Source organism: Homo sapiens, chromosome 18 (genome assembly GCF_000001405.40).
Source record: "Homo sapiens chromosome 18, GRCh38.p14 Primary Assembly".
NCBI classification, from domain to species: Eukaryota; Metazoa; Chordata; class Mammalia; order Primates; family Hominidae; genus Homo; species Homo sapiens.
Genome location: NC_000018.10, coordinates 4,486,784 through 4,505,064, shown reverse-complemented (window position 1 = coordinate 4,505,064; position 18,281 = coordinate 4,486,784). Strand labels below are relative to the sequence as shown.

General features: G+C 35.0%; 1 long non-coding RNA gene across 1 annotated transcript, besides 1 other annotated feature; it reads left to right on the top strand.

Moving 5' to 3' along the window:
• The first annotated feature begins 8,671 nt into the window (after nucleotides 1–8,671).
• LOC105371968 (uncharacterized) lies at nucleotides 8,672–11,814 on the top strand. Its single transcript, XR_935109.2, has 3 exons — nucleotides 8,672–8,880; nucleotides 9,790–9,878; nucleotides 11,509–11,814. It is a non-coding gene; the product is annotated as an uncharacterized LOC105371968 (long non-coding RNA).
• Nucleotides 9,659–10,315: an enhancer, noted in NCBI's record as "OCT4-NANOG hESC enhancer chr18:4494750-4495406 (GRCh37/hg19 assembly coordinates)". NCBI's record gives its function as "activates a minimal SCP1, AML or CMV promoter by ChIP-STARR-seq in primed H9 embryonic stem cells {active_cell/tissue: H9 hESC(primed)}" and the evidence as "EXISTENCE:reporter gene assay evidence [ECO:0000049][PMID:30033119]".
• Nucleotides 11,815–18,281: the final 6,467 nt, after the last annotated feature.

Below are 18,281 nucleotides of genomic sequence, written 5' to 3'. Positions count from 1 at the left end.
AATGAAATGTTCTATAAATGTCTGTTAAGTTTATATGATGTATATTGAAGATGAAGTCTGATATTTTTTGTTAATTTCCTGTCTAGACCAGTGATCGCCAACCGTTTTGGCACGAAGGACCTGTTTCATGAAAGACAGTTTTTCCACAGATGGTGGGATGTGGAGGGGCAGTTCAGAGGTGAAGGTTTTGGGATGAAACTGTTGCACCTCAGATCATCAGGCATTGGTTAGATTCTCATATGAAGCATGCAACCTAGATTCTTTGCATGCGCAGTTCATAGTAGGGTTCACACTCCTATGATAATCTAATGCCACCACTGATCTGATAGGAGGCAGAGCTCAGGTGGTAATGCTCGCTGGCCCACCACTCACCTTCTGTTGTGTGGCTGGGTTCCTAACAGGCCACGGACCAGTACCAGGGGTTGGGAAACTTGGTCCAGATTATGTATTCACTGCTGAAAATGGGATGTTAAATCCCCAACTATTACTGTATTGAGGTTGATCTCTCTCTTCAGCTCTAACAATATTTGCTTTATATATCTGGGTGCTCTGATGTTGAGTGCATTTATATTTATAATTGCTATATTCTGTTGCTAAATTGATTCCTTTGTCATTATATAGTGACCTTCTTTACCTCTTTTTAGGTTTTCTGACTTAAAGTCTATTCTGTCTGATAAAAGTATAGCTATTCTTGTATGCTTTTGTTTTCTACTTGTTTGGAATATTTTTTTCCTATTATTTCACTTTTAGTATATGGTTGTCTTTACAGGTCATATGGTTTGGCTCTATGTCCCCACTCAAATGTCATGTGGAATTGTAATCCCCATGTGTTAAAGGTGGGGCCCTGGTAGGAGGTGATTAGATCATGGGGGTGGATTTCCCCCATGCTGCTCTCATGATAGTGAATGAGTTCTCATGAGATCTGATGGTTTAAAAGTGTGTGGCACTTCCCCCTCAACCCCACTCCACCATGGTAAGATGTGCTTGCTTCCCCTTTGCATACCACCATGATTGTAAGTTTCCTGAGGCCTCCCAGTCATGCTGCCTATTAAGCCTGCAGAACTATGAGTCAATTAAACCTCTCACTTCATAATCACCTAGTCTCAGGTAGTTCTTTATAGCAGTGTGAGAATGGAATAATATAACAGATGAAGTGAAATTTTTGTAGGAAGCACATAGTTGGTTCTTTTAAAACAATCTATTGTTAATTTTTTTAATCAAGGTATAGAAACCATTTACACTCAAGAATTTTATTGATGGGTGAGAACTTACTCCTGTCATTTTGTCAATTTTTGAAATTTTGTATATTTTTTTCTTTCTTTTCATCTTTATGATTTCTTGCCCTCTTGTAGTGATAATTTTGAACTTCTTTCTTTCTCATTTGTTAGTATGCTTTATCAGGGCATTTTATACTTTCATGTCTTTTCATGATGGTAAATATTTCCCTTTAACTTCCAGATGCAGGAGGCCCTTAAGTATTTCTTGTAGGGCCAGTCCAGTGATGATAAATTCCCTTAGTCATTGTCTGGGAAAGGCTATTTTTCTTTTAATTTTGAAGTATACTTTTGCTGGGAATAGCAGGGCAGGTTTTTTTATTTTCTTTTTTTTTCTCAGCACTTTGAATGTATCATCATCACATTCTCTCCTGGCCTGTATGCTTTCTGCTGAGAAATCCGCTATTAGTCTCATGGGGCTTCCCTTACATGTAACTTGACACATTTCTCTAACTCTTTTTAGAAGTCTCTCTGTCTTTGATTTTTGGCAGTTTGACTATAATGTGCATTGAAAAAGACCTTTTTGGGTTAAATCTATTTTGGTGTATTTGAAGTTCCTGTATCTGGATGTCTGTGTCTCATGCAAGACTTGGGGAAGTTTTCAGCTATTATTTCATTGAATCACTTTTCTATGTCTTTGCCCATCTCTTCTTTCTGAATTCCCCAAATTTGATTATTTAGTGCTTTATGGTGTTTCATATGTCACATAGGCTTTCCTCATTCTTTACTATACTTCTTTTTCTGGCTGAGTTAGTTCAAAAGACCTGCCTTCAGGTTCAGAAATTCTTTCTTCTGCTTGATATTCTACTGTTGAAGCTCTCAATTATGTTTTTTATCCCCTACATTGAATTCTTCAGTTCTCTTATTTCTGCTTGTGTTTTTTAAAATAATATCTATCTCTATTGAATTTCTTATTAAGATCATGAATTGTTTCCCTGATTTCTTTGTATTGTTTATCTCTGTTCTCCTTTATCTCACTGATTTTTAAAAATATAATGATTTTGAATTCTTTCTTCAGGCATTTCATAGATTTTCCTTTCTTTGGGATCTATTCCTTAAGATTTTTTTTTGTTTTTGTCATGATTCCTTATTTTTTAATGTTTCTTGTGTCCTTACACTGATATCTGCATTTCTGATGTAACAGTCATTTCTTCCAATTTTATGAATTGGTTTTCATGGAAAATACTTTTTTTATATATTTATATCTATAGTCTTGGTAGGACAGAGTGCTTTGCATTTGATTTGGGGTTGGTGCGGTAGTGTAGTCTCCCTATGATTTCTTTGGCTATAATCAACATCAGTGGCATATTTAAGTTTCTCAGTGGCTTAGCCTACAGATATTACTGGAGGTTGTGGTAAGGCTTTTTTGGCCACAGGGACATGAAGTGTGCCAAACCTCAGGCACCAGTAGTGGTGTGGTGGCAGGACACCATGCAGATCTACAGGCCTCTGGTTATAAAACAGATTGTGAGACCAGCAAAAGTGACATCCAGCTGAGTGAGTACCAGTCAACTCTTGAATCATGAGAAATAGCAACTTTTTAAAATACTCTTAGTTTGGGGGTAGTTTATTGCACTGCAAAAGATAACCAGAACAGAAATTAGTATCAGACGTAGGTACTGCCATAGCAAAAGATGTGGTATGGGTTTTGTTAGCAAGTAGCAGGCAGAGACTAGAAGCACTGAGGGTATTGTTAATGAAACTTGGCACCAGGAATAGCGAGTCTTGTTGGGTTGATCCTCAGGCCTCTAATTGATATGTTCAGATGCCAGTAGTAGCAACAGTGTTCCAGGCAGCTGGGCCCTTGGGACCCTGGGTGGTATATGTGGCATTGGTAGTGGTAGTAGCAGTGACAGGCCAAACATCAGCCTCCCAAGCCATTTCAGGCACCAGTGAAAACATCAGCAAGCTAAGTGCGTCTATCTCCCAGCTCCCAGACAGTGCAGATAGTATTGGTGTTTGTTGTCAGCTAAAACCTGCTCACTTGATACCACATTTAAATTTACATTTATCATGAAACTTCAAATGCTGTGGCCAATAATGTCAATAGCAGATCAACAAAAGGATTGTATTTTGCAAGAGTAATAGTTTACTTAGCATCTCTATTTACAAAAAAAAAAAGTATTTTTGGTGAAAATTTATGTGTTTTTAAGACATGTTACAAATATTAACATTAAATTAACTGGCATATTTGTATGTTCTGTAAAGCTTATTTTTAAATGATATTTTATTTTATGGAGCATAATTAATGGCCTTCAGGCAATTTTATACCTATAGTGTAGCTGTGTAATGAAGCATATTATTTTGTTATAAATATTTAAATTAAGGTTGTTACATACTGTCTACTCTATTTTTATCCAATAAACATCATTTTTCTATCTCCTTAGATTATTAAGTGCCCCTGGACTCTCCTGAAGAAGGCTCTGACAATCTGTTTAGTCATTTTTTATGACATTGCTGGCAGCAAACTATTTTCACTAGAATATGAAATGTCTGTGGTACATTAACTAAAAAGAAGAGAAAACCAATTTATGAATATCTGAGAAATCATTGCAATGGTAGCTTAAAAATATATGCTATGTTGTACAATGCAACATATATGTAAAGTTTGCTTTGGTGATTCTAGAGAAATGTATGACACAATGTTAACACACCTAAGCCAGTGTTTTCCAAAAAGCAAGTCACACACTACTGATGGAACAAAATATTATTTTAGCTAATACATAGCATAACACTGTCTAATAACTAATATTTATACTAACATGTGTGGTAACTGGACTTCAAAAATAGTCCACAATGAATCATTTCTTTCTATATTCATGTCATTATTTAGTCCTTTACCCCCTTGAATCTAGACAAGTCTTGTGACTACTTTAATCAATGGAATGTGGCACAGTGATGCTGTGCCATTTCCAGACTTAATCTTTAAAAAAGCTCTCTCCTTTTTACTTTCTGTGATTTAGAGAGCTCTAAGTTACCGACTGAGAAATATGGCTCCCCTGCTACAAAGACTATGTGGATAAACCACATGGAAAGCCATGTGAAGAGAGAAGCCTTGGGACCACATGAATAGAGAGAAAGCCCCAGCATCCCAGTGTCCCAGCTGAGCCCAGAGGTTCAGCTATTCTTACCCAGGCACCAGTGGCACAAATAAAAATCTCCAAGAACAAAAAAAGATTTCAACCTCAGCACCATCTAACTGCAATGACAAAGCAGATTGTAAGTGAGACCAGCAGAAGTACCAGCCAGCTGAGCACCAGCCAATTCTTGAATCATGAGAAATATCAAAATTATCCTTTAATACACATATTTTGGGGGCAGTTTATTGCACTGCAATAAATATTCAGAACAGAAATTGGTATCCAAAGTAGATACTGCCATGGCAAAAAAAAAAAAAATGTGGCATGAGTTTTGTTAACACGTAGGAGGCAGAGACTAGAAGCACCGAGGGTATTGTTAATAAAGCCTGCCTGATAAGACAGCCAGGAAATCATGATGGGCAGATGGAGAAAAGGGAACCCAAGTTATATGATGTTAAAAAACTAATAAAACGTCTTCCAAGATCACGTAGAAGATAGAAAAGACACCTAAGGAACTTCTGATTTGATCTAAGGAGATATATAGGCAGAAAGCTGAATGTGCCAATTGCCTTTCTTGGGCCACCTTTGATAAAGTATGAGAGGTGTTAGATAAGCTACAGAAGTAACTGCTTGGTTTTCAAACAGCATTTAGAGAGAATATAATGAAGTCAGGACTTGTTAAATATGAAAATACAACTGTTTCTCATACTAATCCTCTTTTGGAAAAAGACTCACAAAATAATAATTGGCTTTAGTGCAAACGTTACATTCTTAGTAAAATGTGGCCTCAGGTAAAGACCTGGGTTGCATCTGTAAGACTCTTTTTAAAAAGTAAGAAAATTTTAAGTCTAGGTATGGAGACCATCATATATATATATGACTTCTATGAACATAAGGCCATTCCTCATGCACCCTCACTGATAGGTAGTAAGATGTCTAAGAGAGCTTTTAAGAATATTGTAAGGATATCATTCCATACTAAGTTGATCCATGACCCAAAGTCAAGACAGACCTGTACTGAAGAGATATTGAAGAGATATGTGCTTGTGGCTTCTGTTTAATGAATATTTATATTTTTATAATTTATAATTTAATACATAGTTTTAAAAGTTCACTTAGGACCCATACTAACTCAGACTAAAGGATACACAGATCATTCAGAAAGAGTCCTATATCTCCAAAGACAGAAGGCATACTGAGAAATAACATTACACTGTAAGTGCAGGCCATTTCTCATTCAAAAGGAAGAATACACTCGGTTATCAGAACCAAAAGTCTAGAAGACAGAGCTAAGAAATTAGGAGAATCACTCATGGAGTGCAGATCTGAGTCTACAAAGGCATGTATTTCTTGCTCAGAACTAGGGCAAGTGTCAACATGTATTTGTCTGAATTAAGGATCGCTATGGACCAGTGCCTGTTATATGCCTTTCCAACTCCCCTTTTGAAATAAATTGACTATTACTATTGCATTGTTGCCATTTCTGTCTCACCTTTGTAATGTTTTGTCAATTCCAGGCCTAAAATTAAAAAGTCTTGGCATCTTCTGGTTTTGGTCTTTTGTAGCTCACCTTGAACCACTATATGAGACCACCACATAAGACTGCCTTGACCCACCACATAAGATATTAAGCTACCTCGCTGAAAGGACCATGCAGGAGACTACATAGACCTCATGGAGAGGAAGAGGCCTCAAAACTACATTGCAAGGGGGTAAGCCATACCATTGCCACAGGTGAGCCCTGCTTTCCAGAACCATCCACATCAGGTCACCAGACATGTTGGTGAAGCCATCATGGACATTCCAGCCCCAATCACCTAAAACTGCTGCTGCATGAAAGACTTTAACTGAGAAAAGCAAAAGATCTATCCAGCTAAGTCAAATCATAGGATTCTGAAAATAATTAAATGGTGATTGTTTTCAGATACTAAGTTTTGGAGTGGCTTGTTATAAAGCAACAAAACAATATGTTTTAGAAACAAATATAACTATTATGTAACACATATGATCTCCCAGATATTATTGCAATGGAGAAAGTATCCGTAGTGAGAGTTAACCACTTAATGGATTCATCCTGGAATTTCTTTTTTTTTTTTTTTTTTGAGATGGAATCTCACTCTTTCTCCCAGGCTGGAGTGCAGTGGCACCATCTCTCCTCACTGCAACCTCCACCTCCCGGGTTCAAGCGATTCGCCCGCCTCAGCCTCCCGAGTAGCTGGGACTACAGGCGCGTGCCACAACGCCTGGCTAATTTTTTGTATTTTTAGTAGAGACAGGGTTTCACCGTGTTAGTCAGGATGGTTTCGATCTCCTGACCTCATGATCCGCCCGCCTTGGCCTCCCAAAGTCCTGGGATTATAGGCGTGAGCCACCGCACCCGGCCTATCCTGGAATTTCAAACCTACCCCCGATGCCTCAAACCTACAGAAACTGACACATGCACCATAGTTTTTTAAAGGGATGCAAAGTTTAAATAATGTGGATTTCAACTAAGGATTATTAAATATTGAATTTGCAACCACATTGATGCATTTTTCTTCAGCTGCACTTTGTCATTTCTGGAGGTTGACAGTCATTGATTATAAAAAATATTTTTATTATGCATAATTGTGAATTGGAATCAAACTTATCAGTGATATTTTTGTTGGTTTTGTGTTTTATTTTGCTGCTGGTTAATCCCATCATGGATGAATGACTTAAAAGAGAATGAGTTTTTAAAGCATGAAGGCAAAGAGAGTGATGGAAATAAATGTGAGTAGTAATACTGGTGGTGTTTAAATCAGTCATGTATCTTCAAAGAGTTATGAGGACAAAGTAAATCAGTTACTTTGTGTTTTTTATAGCTATCATCTACAAATAAAACTAAAATGTCATTAAAATGTATCGAAATATTTTATGCTTCTTACTTTTATGATCTAGCAATGTGATTTACTGCATTCTGTTTTGAATCATGTATTTAGAAACACAAATTAAACGAATCCATCTCAAGTAAAATTTTCAAGTACCCAAAATACTAAGGAAAATCTATCAAAATATTTGGAATGAAGTGTAAAAAAATTCAATTATCTGAATAAGTTTTCCCCAATAAGGAACAAATGCAAAAATCATTAGAATACATACATATAGTGTCACTTTAAAACATACAAACTAGAAAATCTGTAATATTGACAGAATCTTTAGTAAACTTGCTATGAAATAAAATGATAAAAATTATATTTGGACACAGAAAAAATAAAATGATTAATAAAATTATTTCATCCAAAAAGGTGAGCTTATTTTAGTGTTACAGATATTGACAGAAACCAAAGAAATGACTACTTTCTTAAGTATGGCAAAGTAATATTTATTAATAGTTGTTTTTCAAATATGAATGAATAAAGAATTATATGAAGACAATTTTTAGGCAAACATTGAAAATATCTATGACTATAGAATAGATTTTGAATTGACAGCTTCATCTCAAATAGTAACACAGACTAAAAATGATATACTGGGTTAAGCACTGACACTAAGAACACCTCTGGTATGCTAAGAAAACCTGTTTCAGGCATTTAAGCTGTTACAACAGAAGAAAAATATATTCTGGGTTGAAAACATAAGGAAGTTTTTATCCCATTTGGTATGCACAATGTTTTCAGGAGAAGTATTTTTAAATCTGTTAAAATGATCATTTATATCAAGGGAAGACCTCTAAATACTTAACTATGCTCAGCTTTGTGAAGAGATGGAGAATGTTTACAAATAACTACTATTCCAGACTGAAGCACGTTGACTTTTCACTCAGAAAGTCTTCAGTGTTACGTTAGATAATGCAAACTTCATATTCCTCTGAAAGAAATATTTAATCAGTAATATTTATGAGCACAAATTTGCAAATTAAATTTTGCAAATATATCTGCTCATTTGAGAAATCTCAATGTGTGTGCATTAGTCAGAATGGGCTATGTTAAGCTTTGCCAGTAAGCAATTCTCAGTTGTCTTTGACTTGGAAAACATGATATATGACCTTCTTAGTTTGACCAGGGCTCTGCTCCACAATGGTGGCCTTCATTTTAGAACCCCACATGCCATGCCAGATTGCCACCATCAGAACATTGCCAATTGCCAGGGGAAAGGAAGGAAAGTGTAAGGAATTGTGCCCTGGCTCTTAATAGTTTCAGTACGGGAGTAACCCACGTCATTTCACTCACCAAAACAAGTCACGTGGCTTAACTTCAAGGGAGGTTGAAGCCTACTCCATGTGAAAAAATCCTGAGAACCAGAATATTAGGGATCTCACTAACTATTGGGTATGTTTTCTTAGAAGTCAAGTTTGTCTCTGTATAAAGCCAATATGATATAATCACATACTTTGGAGTATACATACATCTCTGATCAGCCTGAGTTGGAGTCTTTTGGTTGTTCCGGCTGTTTATAAACTGTTTTGAAGAATTTGCTTTAAAATCATTTGGATTCTTATAAAAAGGGACTGGAAAGATTTGAAAAAAAAAAGGTCTTCATAACATTTTCCAACTCAGAAGACACTGGTGAGTAGTAGATAAGCAACTTTTTCTTATCATGTGAGGGCAAAGGTAGCATATTTTTAAGGAATTGATCATCAGTATCTTAATGTATCAGAGACTAAGTAATTGTTTATTACCCTTTATGATCCAATACTTAAAGTTTTGATTCTTTAGTTAACATAAAAACTCTAAAAAAGCAAAAATGTTTTTTCCAGGAACTACATCTTCACGTCATGCCAACCAAATGTGATTTTATTGTTGAATTAATCAAAAAATTATCATTTTTCTCATTGAGTAATGTTATTTTAGGTATGCAATTTTGCAAATTGATTAGATTTAGCATTACTTACATAAAAACTTAATTGTAATTATATTTACCTTTATAGTTACTTTCTACTTATGTCAAGTGAGATGTTTTTAAATGCATGGCAGTGATATAAAGTTATTTTAATATACTCATTTTAATAAAATGTAACAAAATGTGCAGTAAACAAATGGATAGATGAGACATACATACAGCTAAAAATTGTGTAAGGGTCATCAAAATACTGCTATCTGGAAAACAGTAATCCAATGAATAAATTAAAAATGATTGTTATGAATCAAAACAGAAAAAAGAATTACCCTAAATTTGTTCTGAGTTGAAGTTGTGCTCCTTTAATTAGGATTTTTAATCATGAACAAATTTTAGAAATGCTAAAGATTTTAAGAACCACTTCCAATTAAAAGAAACTGATTTTCTAAGGCTCCTTGTTCATAAATGAATTAAAAATCATCAGAAGTGTAAAAAATAATTTGCATAAAATTATTTGAATATGCATATATTGATGCTACTTTATATAACAAAATATTTGTATTATCTAAATAAGTAAATCATTTTCAGACCTATTATTAAATTGTGACATTTTTCATCACTCTTAATTGCTTTTGCAGGTTATACTAGAAGAGTGAGCATCTTTTACCAAATAATTTAGTGTCAAGAAATTTCACTCTAAGCCACAAGTGGCCTTAAGATAGGACAGGTAAGTGCTCCCATGAGAGATGTTGAAAAGTCCTCAAACTTCTACAGAACTATAGCAAAAGTTTTGCCCTTTGTTTTTGTGTAAGTTTAACAAGGAGCCTTAGAAAAAGCACATGAAAAGATGCTCAACATCTTTTGTCATTAGGAAAATGTTAATTAAAATAACAATGAGAGGCCCAGTGTGGTGGCTCAGGCCTGTAATCCCAGCACTTTGGAAGGCCGAGGCAGGTGGATCACTTGAGGTCAGGAGTTTGAGACCAGCTTGCCAACATGGCGAAACCTCATCTCCACTAAAAATACAAAAATTAGCCAAGCATGGTGGCACACACTTGGCTGAGGCAGGAGGATTTCTTGAACCCAGGAGGCAGAGGTTGCAGTGAGCCGAGATTGCGCCACTGTATTCCAGCCTGGGTGACAGAGCAAGACTCCATCTCAAAAAAAAAATAATAACAATGAGATACCACAGTATAGTTATTTTACAATGTCTAAAAAATAAAATAAAATATATTGATAATAGTAATTGATGGTAAGGACGTGGAGCAATAAGAAGTAGTGGGAATGCAAAGCATTACAACTACTTTAGAAGCCAATTTAGCAGTTTCATACAAAGCCAAATATAGCTTCAACATATAATCTAGCAACCATGTACCTTGGTATTTAACCACCAGATTCCATCAACCAAAATGTCCTTTAATAGATGAACTGATAAACAAGCTATGGTATGCCAATGCAATGGAATGCCATTCAGCAACAAAAATAATGAATTATCAAGCCACCCAAACATATATGTGAACCTTAAATGCATATTGCTAAATCTTTTACTGAGCTTATCTGAAAAGGCCACCTATTGTATGACTCAGTTTATAGGATGTTCTGGAGAAAGCAGAAATATGGAGACAGTTACAGTTCAATTTTTCCCAGGGCTTCTTGGAGAACAGAGGACAAGGGTGATTGAATAGGTAAAGCATAGAAAGTATTTTTACCATGATGAAACTATTCTTTATGATACTGTAATCATGGGTACATGCTACTATGCATTTATCAAAAGCCACAGAACTTACAGAAATCAGAGGAAACTTAATGTATGCAAATTTTAAAAGATCATTTAGGAGGCCGGGGTAGAGTTGGGGGGGATCCCAGGAAGGAATGCAGAATGCAACAAGAGAATCTAATTGTATTACAAATGTATGAAGGAACCACACTGAAGGGAGCTGTAGTAAAAAATGCTGACCTTGGAAATGAGTGGAGTCTGTAAGACTAACTAATGGCAAAAAGAACTGTACATAAATTCTATACTCTAGTTGATAAAATGGTTTCCCATGGGGGTATAGGTTAACAATTCTGAAACATGTATGTTATATACATGTATGTTATGTATATGTATGCTGGACTTGAACAACTAAGTGGATGGCAGATGGTGGGAGCAAGGTTTCTTACTGTTAGAGAGGGAATTTACAGTTAAGCAAAGAGTAGCAGATAGAAGATCCATGTCATAGTAGATTAGAATTGGAGACATCAGTATTAGCGTATGCTTAGTTTAGTGTAGATAAAAATGGTCCCATATAGAAATATTTGTAGACGGTGCCTATACATAAATTATACACATATACATTTCTTTGTTTTATCACCAGAGAGGACCTAAAAGATGTGACACTCCACCAGCAAACAGCACATCTAGTGCCAAGATCTTAGTTTCTAAAACCTTCCTCTGATGAGAGGAACTAGTTTCTTGGAGAAATGACTGATTCCAAGACTGGGGCAGGAAATATAGATGATGAACCTAGAACACCCCGTAGTGCCAGAAAGTAAAGTGCTCAAAAACCAAAACAAAACCTCCAACAATTCACAGAGATGGAGACGTGTCAAATGATCACAGTGGCAAGAGTCATTTGAACAAAATGAATAAAGTAAGGTTGGATTATAACCCAAAATATATTTTAAAACCATGAACCTATGTTGATATAAATCATTAAATATTAAATAAGAGGAAATGGACAAATCTCCTGGACATAAAAATTCCAAGTGATTTCCGTAGATACCCTGCTCCCGAGGAGATGGAGCATAATGCTGCACTTCTGAAGAGTGGGCTGCATAGAACGGCTCCCTTCTGAAGAATACATACAGCATGGAAAGGATCAAAAAGAGTAGCTTTCCAGTGGAGAAATCTGACAAACACTGACTCCGTGAGGTGATCAAGGATTACATCCACAGTGACAAGTCATTTTGATAGTATGTATCCTTGATGAGATGTGATGAGGATGGCACTTTTTCTCTGTGCTCTTCCTACCTGTATTAGTCTGATAAAGACATACCTGAGACTGGGTAATTAATACAGGAAAAAGGTTTAATTGGACTTACAGTTCCACATGGCTGGTGAAGCCTCACAATCATGGTGGAAGGCAAGGAGGAGCATGTCATGTCTTACATGGATGGCAACAGGCAAAGAGAGAGAGCTTGTGCACGGGAACTCCTCTTTTTAAACCATCAGATCTTGTGAGGCTTACTCTCAATCACGAGAACAGCATGGGAAAGACTTGCCCCATGATTCAATTACCTGCCACTGGGTCCCTTCCACAATATGTGGGAATTCAAAATGAGATTTGGGGGGAGACACAGCCAAACCATATCACTACCAAAAATGGGTATCCCAAATCTGATCATGTGAAAGTCATCAGACAAATTCCAAGAGAGAGCATCCTATAATTTACCTGTCCTATACTCCTCAAAACTTTCAAAGTCATCAAAAACAACAAAAAGTCTGAGAAACTATGATTGCCAAAAAAAGCCTAAGAAGACATGACAACTAAAGTTAATGTCATATCCTGGATAGGATCCTGGAACAGAAATACAACATTAGGCAAAAACAGAGAACATGAATAAAGTGTGAGCTTTAGTTAATAATAATGTATTAACATTGGTTCATTGTTTGTGACAAATGTACCATACTAATGTAAGATGTTGATAATAGAAGAAACTGGGTTGAGGTATTGTCAGAACACTGTGTACTATTTTTATAATTTTTGTGTAAATCTAAAAACATTCCAAAAATTTAAAGTTTTTTAAAAAAATAAAAGCTATAGGGTTTTTTTTATTAGATAAGCAATATGAACCCTTACCCCAATTACATCTGCATATCTGAGATTTCTTTCAGCATTTTATGATTAATTAGATCACTCAAATTAGTAATGATTATCATTGTTAATTTAAAAAATGGTGGCATTACAAAGACTAGGACGTATAATGGTTTTTGGTTTAGAAATTGGAAATTGACCACCAAAAAACAAGAAACTCACTAAGTGACTTGGAAAATTATTCTGCCTGTATATATTATGGTCTTTTCTCAAATGGTGACCAGAGTAGCACTGGCAGTGGAATCACAGACTGTGCTCCCTAGACATAGTGATTCCTGGGCCAAGCTCAGAACTCATGAACCGGAATCTCAGGGTGGGGAAGCGTGGAAGAGCAGAAAAGGGAAGATCGAAAATAGTAATCTTCAATGAGACTTTCCATTTAGCCAACTGTCATTACAAATTCTGTAGTTAAGCACTTATTATTGCGGAAGTACAATATGAAGTGCTTTTAGAGTTATCAAAAGTACATTGGGTTCATATATGAACTTCATAAATAAAATTGTGCATCTCTTCTTTTAGTATGAAATAATTAAATCCAGGTTTGTATTCTCATGTATGCATATGAATTTTTACTAACATTTATGGTCCTGTCAGCACACTCTTCAAATTATGGTAAATTAGTTGATCTTGTTTTTCTAACTTATTTTCCAAAAGGCACTAACTGAAAGCGATTTTTAGGAGTTTTATACATTGGAACCATTTAAAAAAAAAACACACACTTTTGTCACCTTCACACATTCATGCACTTCATAGTTGATTCTGGCAGGTTTTTAAATAGCAATTTGAGATAAATCTTAATAAAAGAAGCATACATAACTCTAGCAAATAATTAATGTTCAATGAACTCCTATTTTGAAACCAACTGGTGAATTACTTTTTTGTTTGTATGTGTGTGTTTCTTTTTAATTTATAAATATTTCCATTTGATATTTCTTGGTTGAGTCATATTGCATTTCGATCCTTTAGTTTATACTTGGGTTGCAAGGACGGTAATAAAAACAACTATAGGTTAGCAAGCAACTACAATCACAGAAGGTGAGTTTATTTATAGCTTTACCCACAAAGCTTTCTATTTCTCTTATATATCCTCATGATTTTGAGAAATGTCACAGTAACAATTTGAATTTTAGACACAAATGAGGTGGTATATTTTTTAAAGTAATTGAGCAGTAAAACCAAGGCCAATGGATCAGAGCTACATGGAGCTCAATATAAAAACTAAGAACTTTTGAAGAAACTGAGAGTCACCCAAAGATGGCAAAACTATGTCACTAAGTGACAGCACTTGTCCTTGGAGGGATTATCAGAAGTTGAACAATTATTTGATGAAGCTGAGCTAGTAAGTAAAATAAATATTCTTGGCCAGGCGCCGTGGCTAACGCCTCTAATCCCAGCACTTTGGGAGGCCGAGGTGGGTGGATCACCTGAGGTAAGGAGTTCAAGACCAGCCGGGCCAACATGGTGAAATCCCGTCTCTACCAAAAATACCAAAATTATCTGGGCATGGTGGCATGTGCCTGTAGTCCCAGCTACTCAGGAGGCTGAGGCAGGAGAATCGCTTGAACCCAGGAGACAGAGGTTGCAGTAAGCTGAGATCATGCCACTGCACTCCAGCCTGGGCAACACAGGCAGGCTCCATCTTAAAATCAATCAATCAATCAATCAATCAATATTCTTTAAGGTCTAGTCCAGCAAGAGTTATGTGTTAAGCCACTTGAGTTTAAAAAGTGAGGAGGGGTAGAAATAATATATTTCAGTGTATTTGCGGAGATGTATATAGTCTGAAATTTTATATAGAGGTATAAAGATTTATTTTAAGTTTATATTTGTTTGTTCTGATGATAGTTACTGCATTAAAAATTATCCCCAAACTTAGAGACTTACAAAAACACTTTATTTTAATCATGAATACAGATTAGGACTTTGAGAAAGACTTATTATCTTGGAAGTTCTTCCTTTTTGGTTTCTCAGACAGTTAGCATTAGATACTGCTAGAGGCCACTGTCATCTGAAGGCTTCGCTGGATTGGACATCCAAGATGGTGCACTCACAAGGTTTACAGTGGATGCTGGCCATTGGCTAAGACCCGTGCTGAGTTGTTTACCAGAGTACCAATTTTGTCTTTCTAGCATGGTAGCCCCAGAATAGTGAGATTTCTTATGTCCACCAGAAAAAGCACAAGGTACAACATTTGTTGTCACCTGACTTCCAAAGTCACAGAATATCACTTTTGCCCCTCGCTGTTAGTTTTAAATAAGTCTCAAGTTACAGACCTGTTTAGGTTGGGATACACCGAGCCAGTGTCCTTTAGCCAGTTTAGATTGGGAGCCTCAATAAATAAAGATGGTTGATATCTCTTGATCACTCTATCAAGTTGTTGTTACTATTTACTTCCTAAGATGGAAACCAGCCCTTATCTGAGAAATGGATTTTTTTTTTTTGCTGTTGACTATAGAATGTAAAGTAATAAAAATGATTTTTAAAACAAGAAACTAATTTTATTTTTTAGCCATAAAAAGACAATGGTAAAATGACATCGTTGCACTCACCCATACAAATAGAACTCTGTCAAGTTTTATTTAACCGTTTTGCAGATGTGCTAAACTTGATAATCTATTGGCTGAGAGGGAAAAGATGCAGTATAGAACTGTCACTGAAATTTTTCATGATTACAAAGACATGTGGCACTATTTACAAATAAAAATAGTTTTCTCTTTATTACACAGAGGAAATCTATCCTTAAAATAATCAAAAACTTGGGCAAATATATATATGTATATATATATACATATAGATATATAGTCATGGAGCATTATTCACATTTGTGAAAGATTAGAAACATCTTAAATTTCCAAAGTTAGAGAGATCCATCAATGAATGCAGCAAACAATAAGTATGCTTATAAGGAACTTAAATCATATGGGAGATCATATGGGAAAATACTTATAAGAGTGCTTATGGGAAAAGTCAGAATGTAGAATTATATATGCTATATGACTTTAAATAGCTAAATGGAAAAATAATAGAAAAAAGCAGAAAATTTGTAAACTTAATAAACAAGCTATACAGAGCTTTTAAAAATCTATTTTATTTCTGCAGTGTACACATCTTCCTTTTATGATTGAGAAGGCATAAAGCAATCTTTTTGTTATAGAATGCTAAAAATAGAATATGTTTTCACAGATGTATACACACTCACACAGAAAATGAAGACTTACTATTTCCTTCCTTCATTTATTTGTCTTACTACATCATAATCTAGCTTATTTTCTGGTGATCCCAAGGCCCACATCAAATATTACTTCTTTTTCTGGTATATCCAGACAGAACTATTTGCTTCTAAAATTGTACTGATATATGACATTTTAAAACATTGAAATATAATTCTCAATCATAAAATTTACCTTTTATAGTATACAATTAGGAAGTTTTATATATTAACAAAGTTGCACAACCAGGACTACTATCTCATTCTGCAATATTTTCATCACCCCAAGAAAAAGTCCTATACCTATTAGGAGTCACACCTCATTCCCTGATGCCCCCAGCCCCTAGCAATCACTAATCCACATTCTCTCTCTATGGATTTGCCTATTATGGATATTTCATACGAATGAAATCATATATGTGGCCTTTGCTGCCTGTCTTCTTCCACTGAGCATAATAAGGGCTGGTTTCCATCTTAGGAATTAATATTATCTAGATCCATCCATGTTGTAGCATGTATCAGTACCTCATTCCTTTTATGGTTGAATAATATTCCACTGTATGAATATAATACATTTTGTTTATCCTTTCATCAGTCAGCAGACATTTGGGTTATTTTTACTTTTTTGGCTATTTTGAATAATGCTACTATGTACCTTCATATGCCAGCTTTTGTGTGAACAAGTGTTTTCAAGCCTCATGAATATGTAACTAGGATTGGATTTCCTGGATCATATAATAACTTTCTAAGGAAATGTCAAATGATCTTTCAAAGTGACTGTACCACTTTACATTGCCACCAGCACTGTACAATGGTTCTAATACTCTACATCCTTTTCAACACTGGTTATAATCTGCCTTTTCAATTATAGCCATTCTAGTAGGTATGAAGTGGTATCTCATAGTGATTTTTATTTACATTTTCCCAATGAATAATGAATTGAGCAGCTTTTCATGTGCTCGTTGACCATTCATGTATCTTATTGAGATAAATGTCTATTAAAATCCTTTACCCATTTTTAAGTTGTGTTGTCTTTTTATTGTTGAGTTGTTAGAGTTTTTTATACATTCTGGATACTGGACACTTATCAGATATATTGTTTGCAAACATTTTCTCTGATTCCATGGGTTGTCATTTTACTTTCTTGATAGTGTCTTTGAAGCATAAACTTTTTAATTTTGATGAAGTCCAATTTATCTATTTTTTCTTTGGTTGTTTTGCTTTTGGTGTAATCTCTAAGAAACTATTGCCTAATCCAAGCTCACAGAGACTTATATATACATTTTTTTTTCTAAGAGTTTTATAGTTTTAGCTCTTAAGTGTAGATCTTCAATTCATCGTGTATTAGGTTGCTATTGGTGCGCATAGGAGTTTATACAGATCTTTGAATTGCACTTAACACTGCACCATTCTTTTCTGAATATATTTTTTACTCTCTTCTAGATTTTGGTCTCCTGAAATAATTCACCTAGTGGATAGCACCGAAAAAAAATGATTATTTCCTAAAAATTCAATTATTCAACAACAAACAATGGCATTAATGTGTCAGCCAAAATTTAACTTTCTTGAAATAACTGACATATTGCCAATAATTGTTACTTTCAACTTTAAATTTACCTTATTATGATAACTGCTTTGTGAATGAGGTTATACAAAACTCATCTGAATTGAGAAAATGCTATGTTCTTTATTGTTTGGGAGGTTTTAGTTGTTTTGTTTCTTTAGTTGTTTCCTAGCTTCCAATTTCTCCTTCATCCCCAGAGAAAACTCTAAACAATGCAAAAAAATAAGCTAAATATTTATTATTAGTATATTATAGTTATTTTATTTTAATAAGTGAAACTAATATTAGTTTAACATTATTATCTAATATCAGTTAATATTAGAGTGAGAAATTGACTATTTCAGGTGAACTTTCATCATGGTGGAACAAGAGCCTGAAAATTAGAAAGCCTTCTGCTGAGGCCATAGGATGGAATCTAAAGCTTCTCTGTATCTTCAGTTTTGAAAAATCAGAAGAAAGACTTTGAAAGCACTAAGAATTTTATATCAAACAATGAGTCTT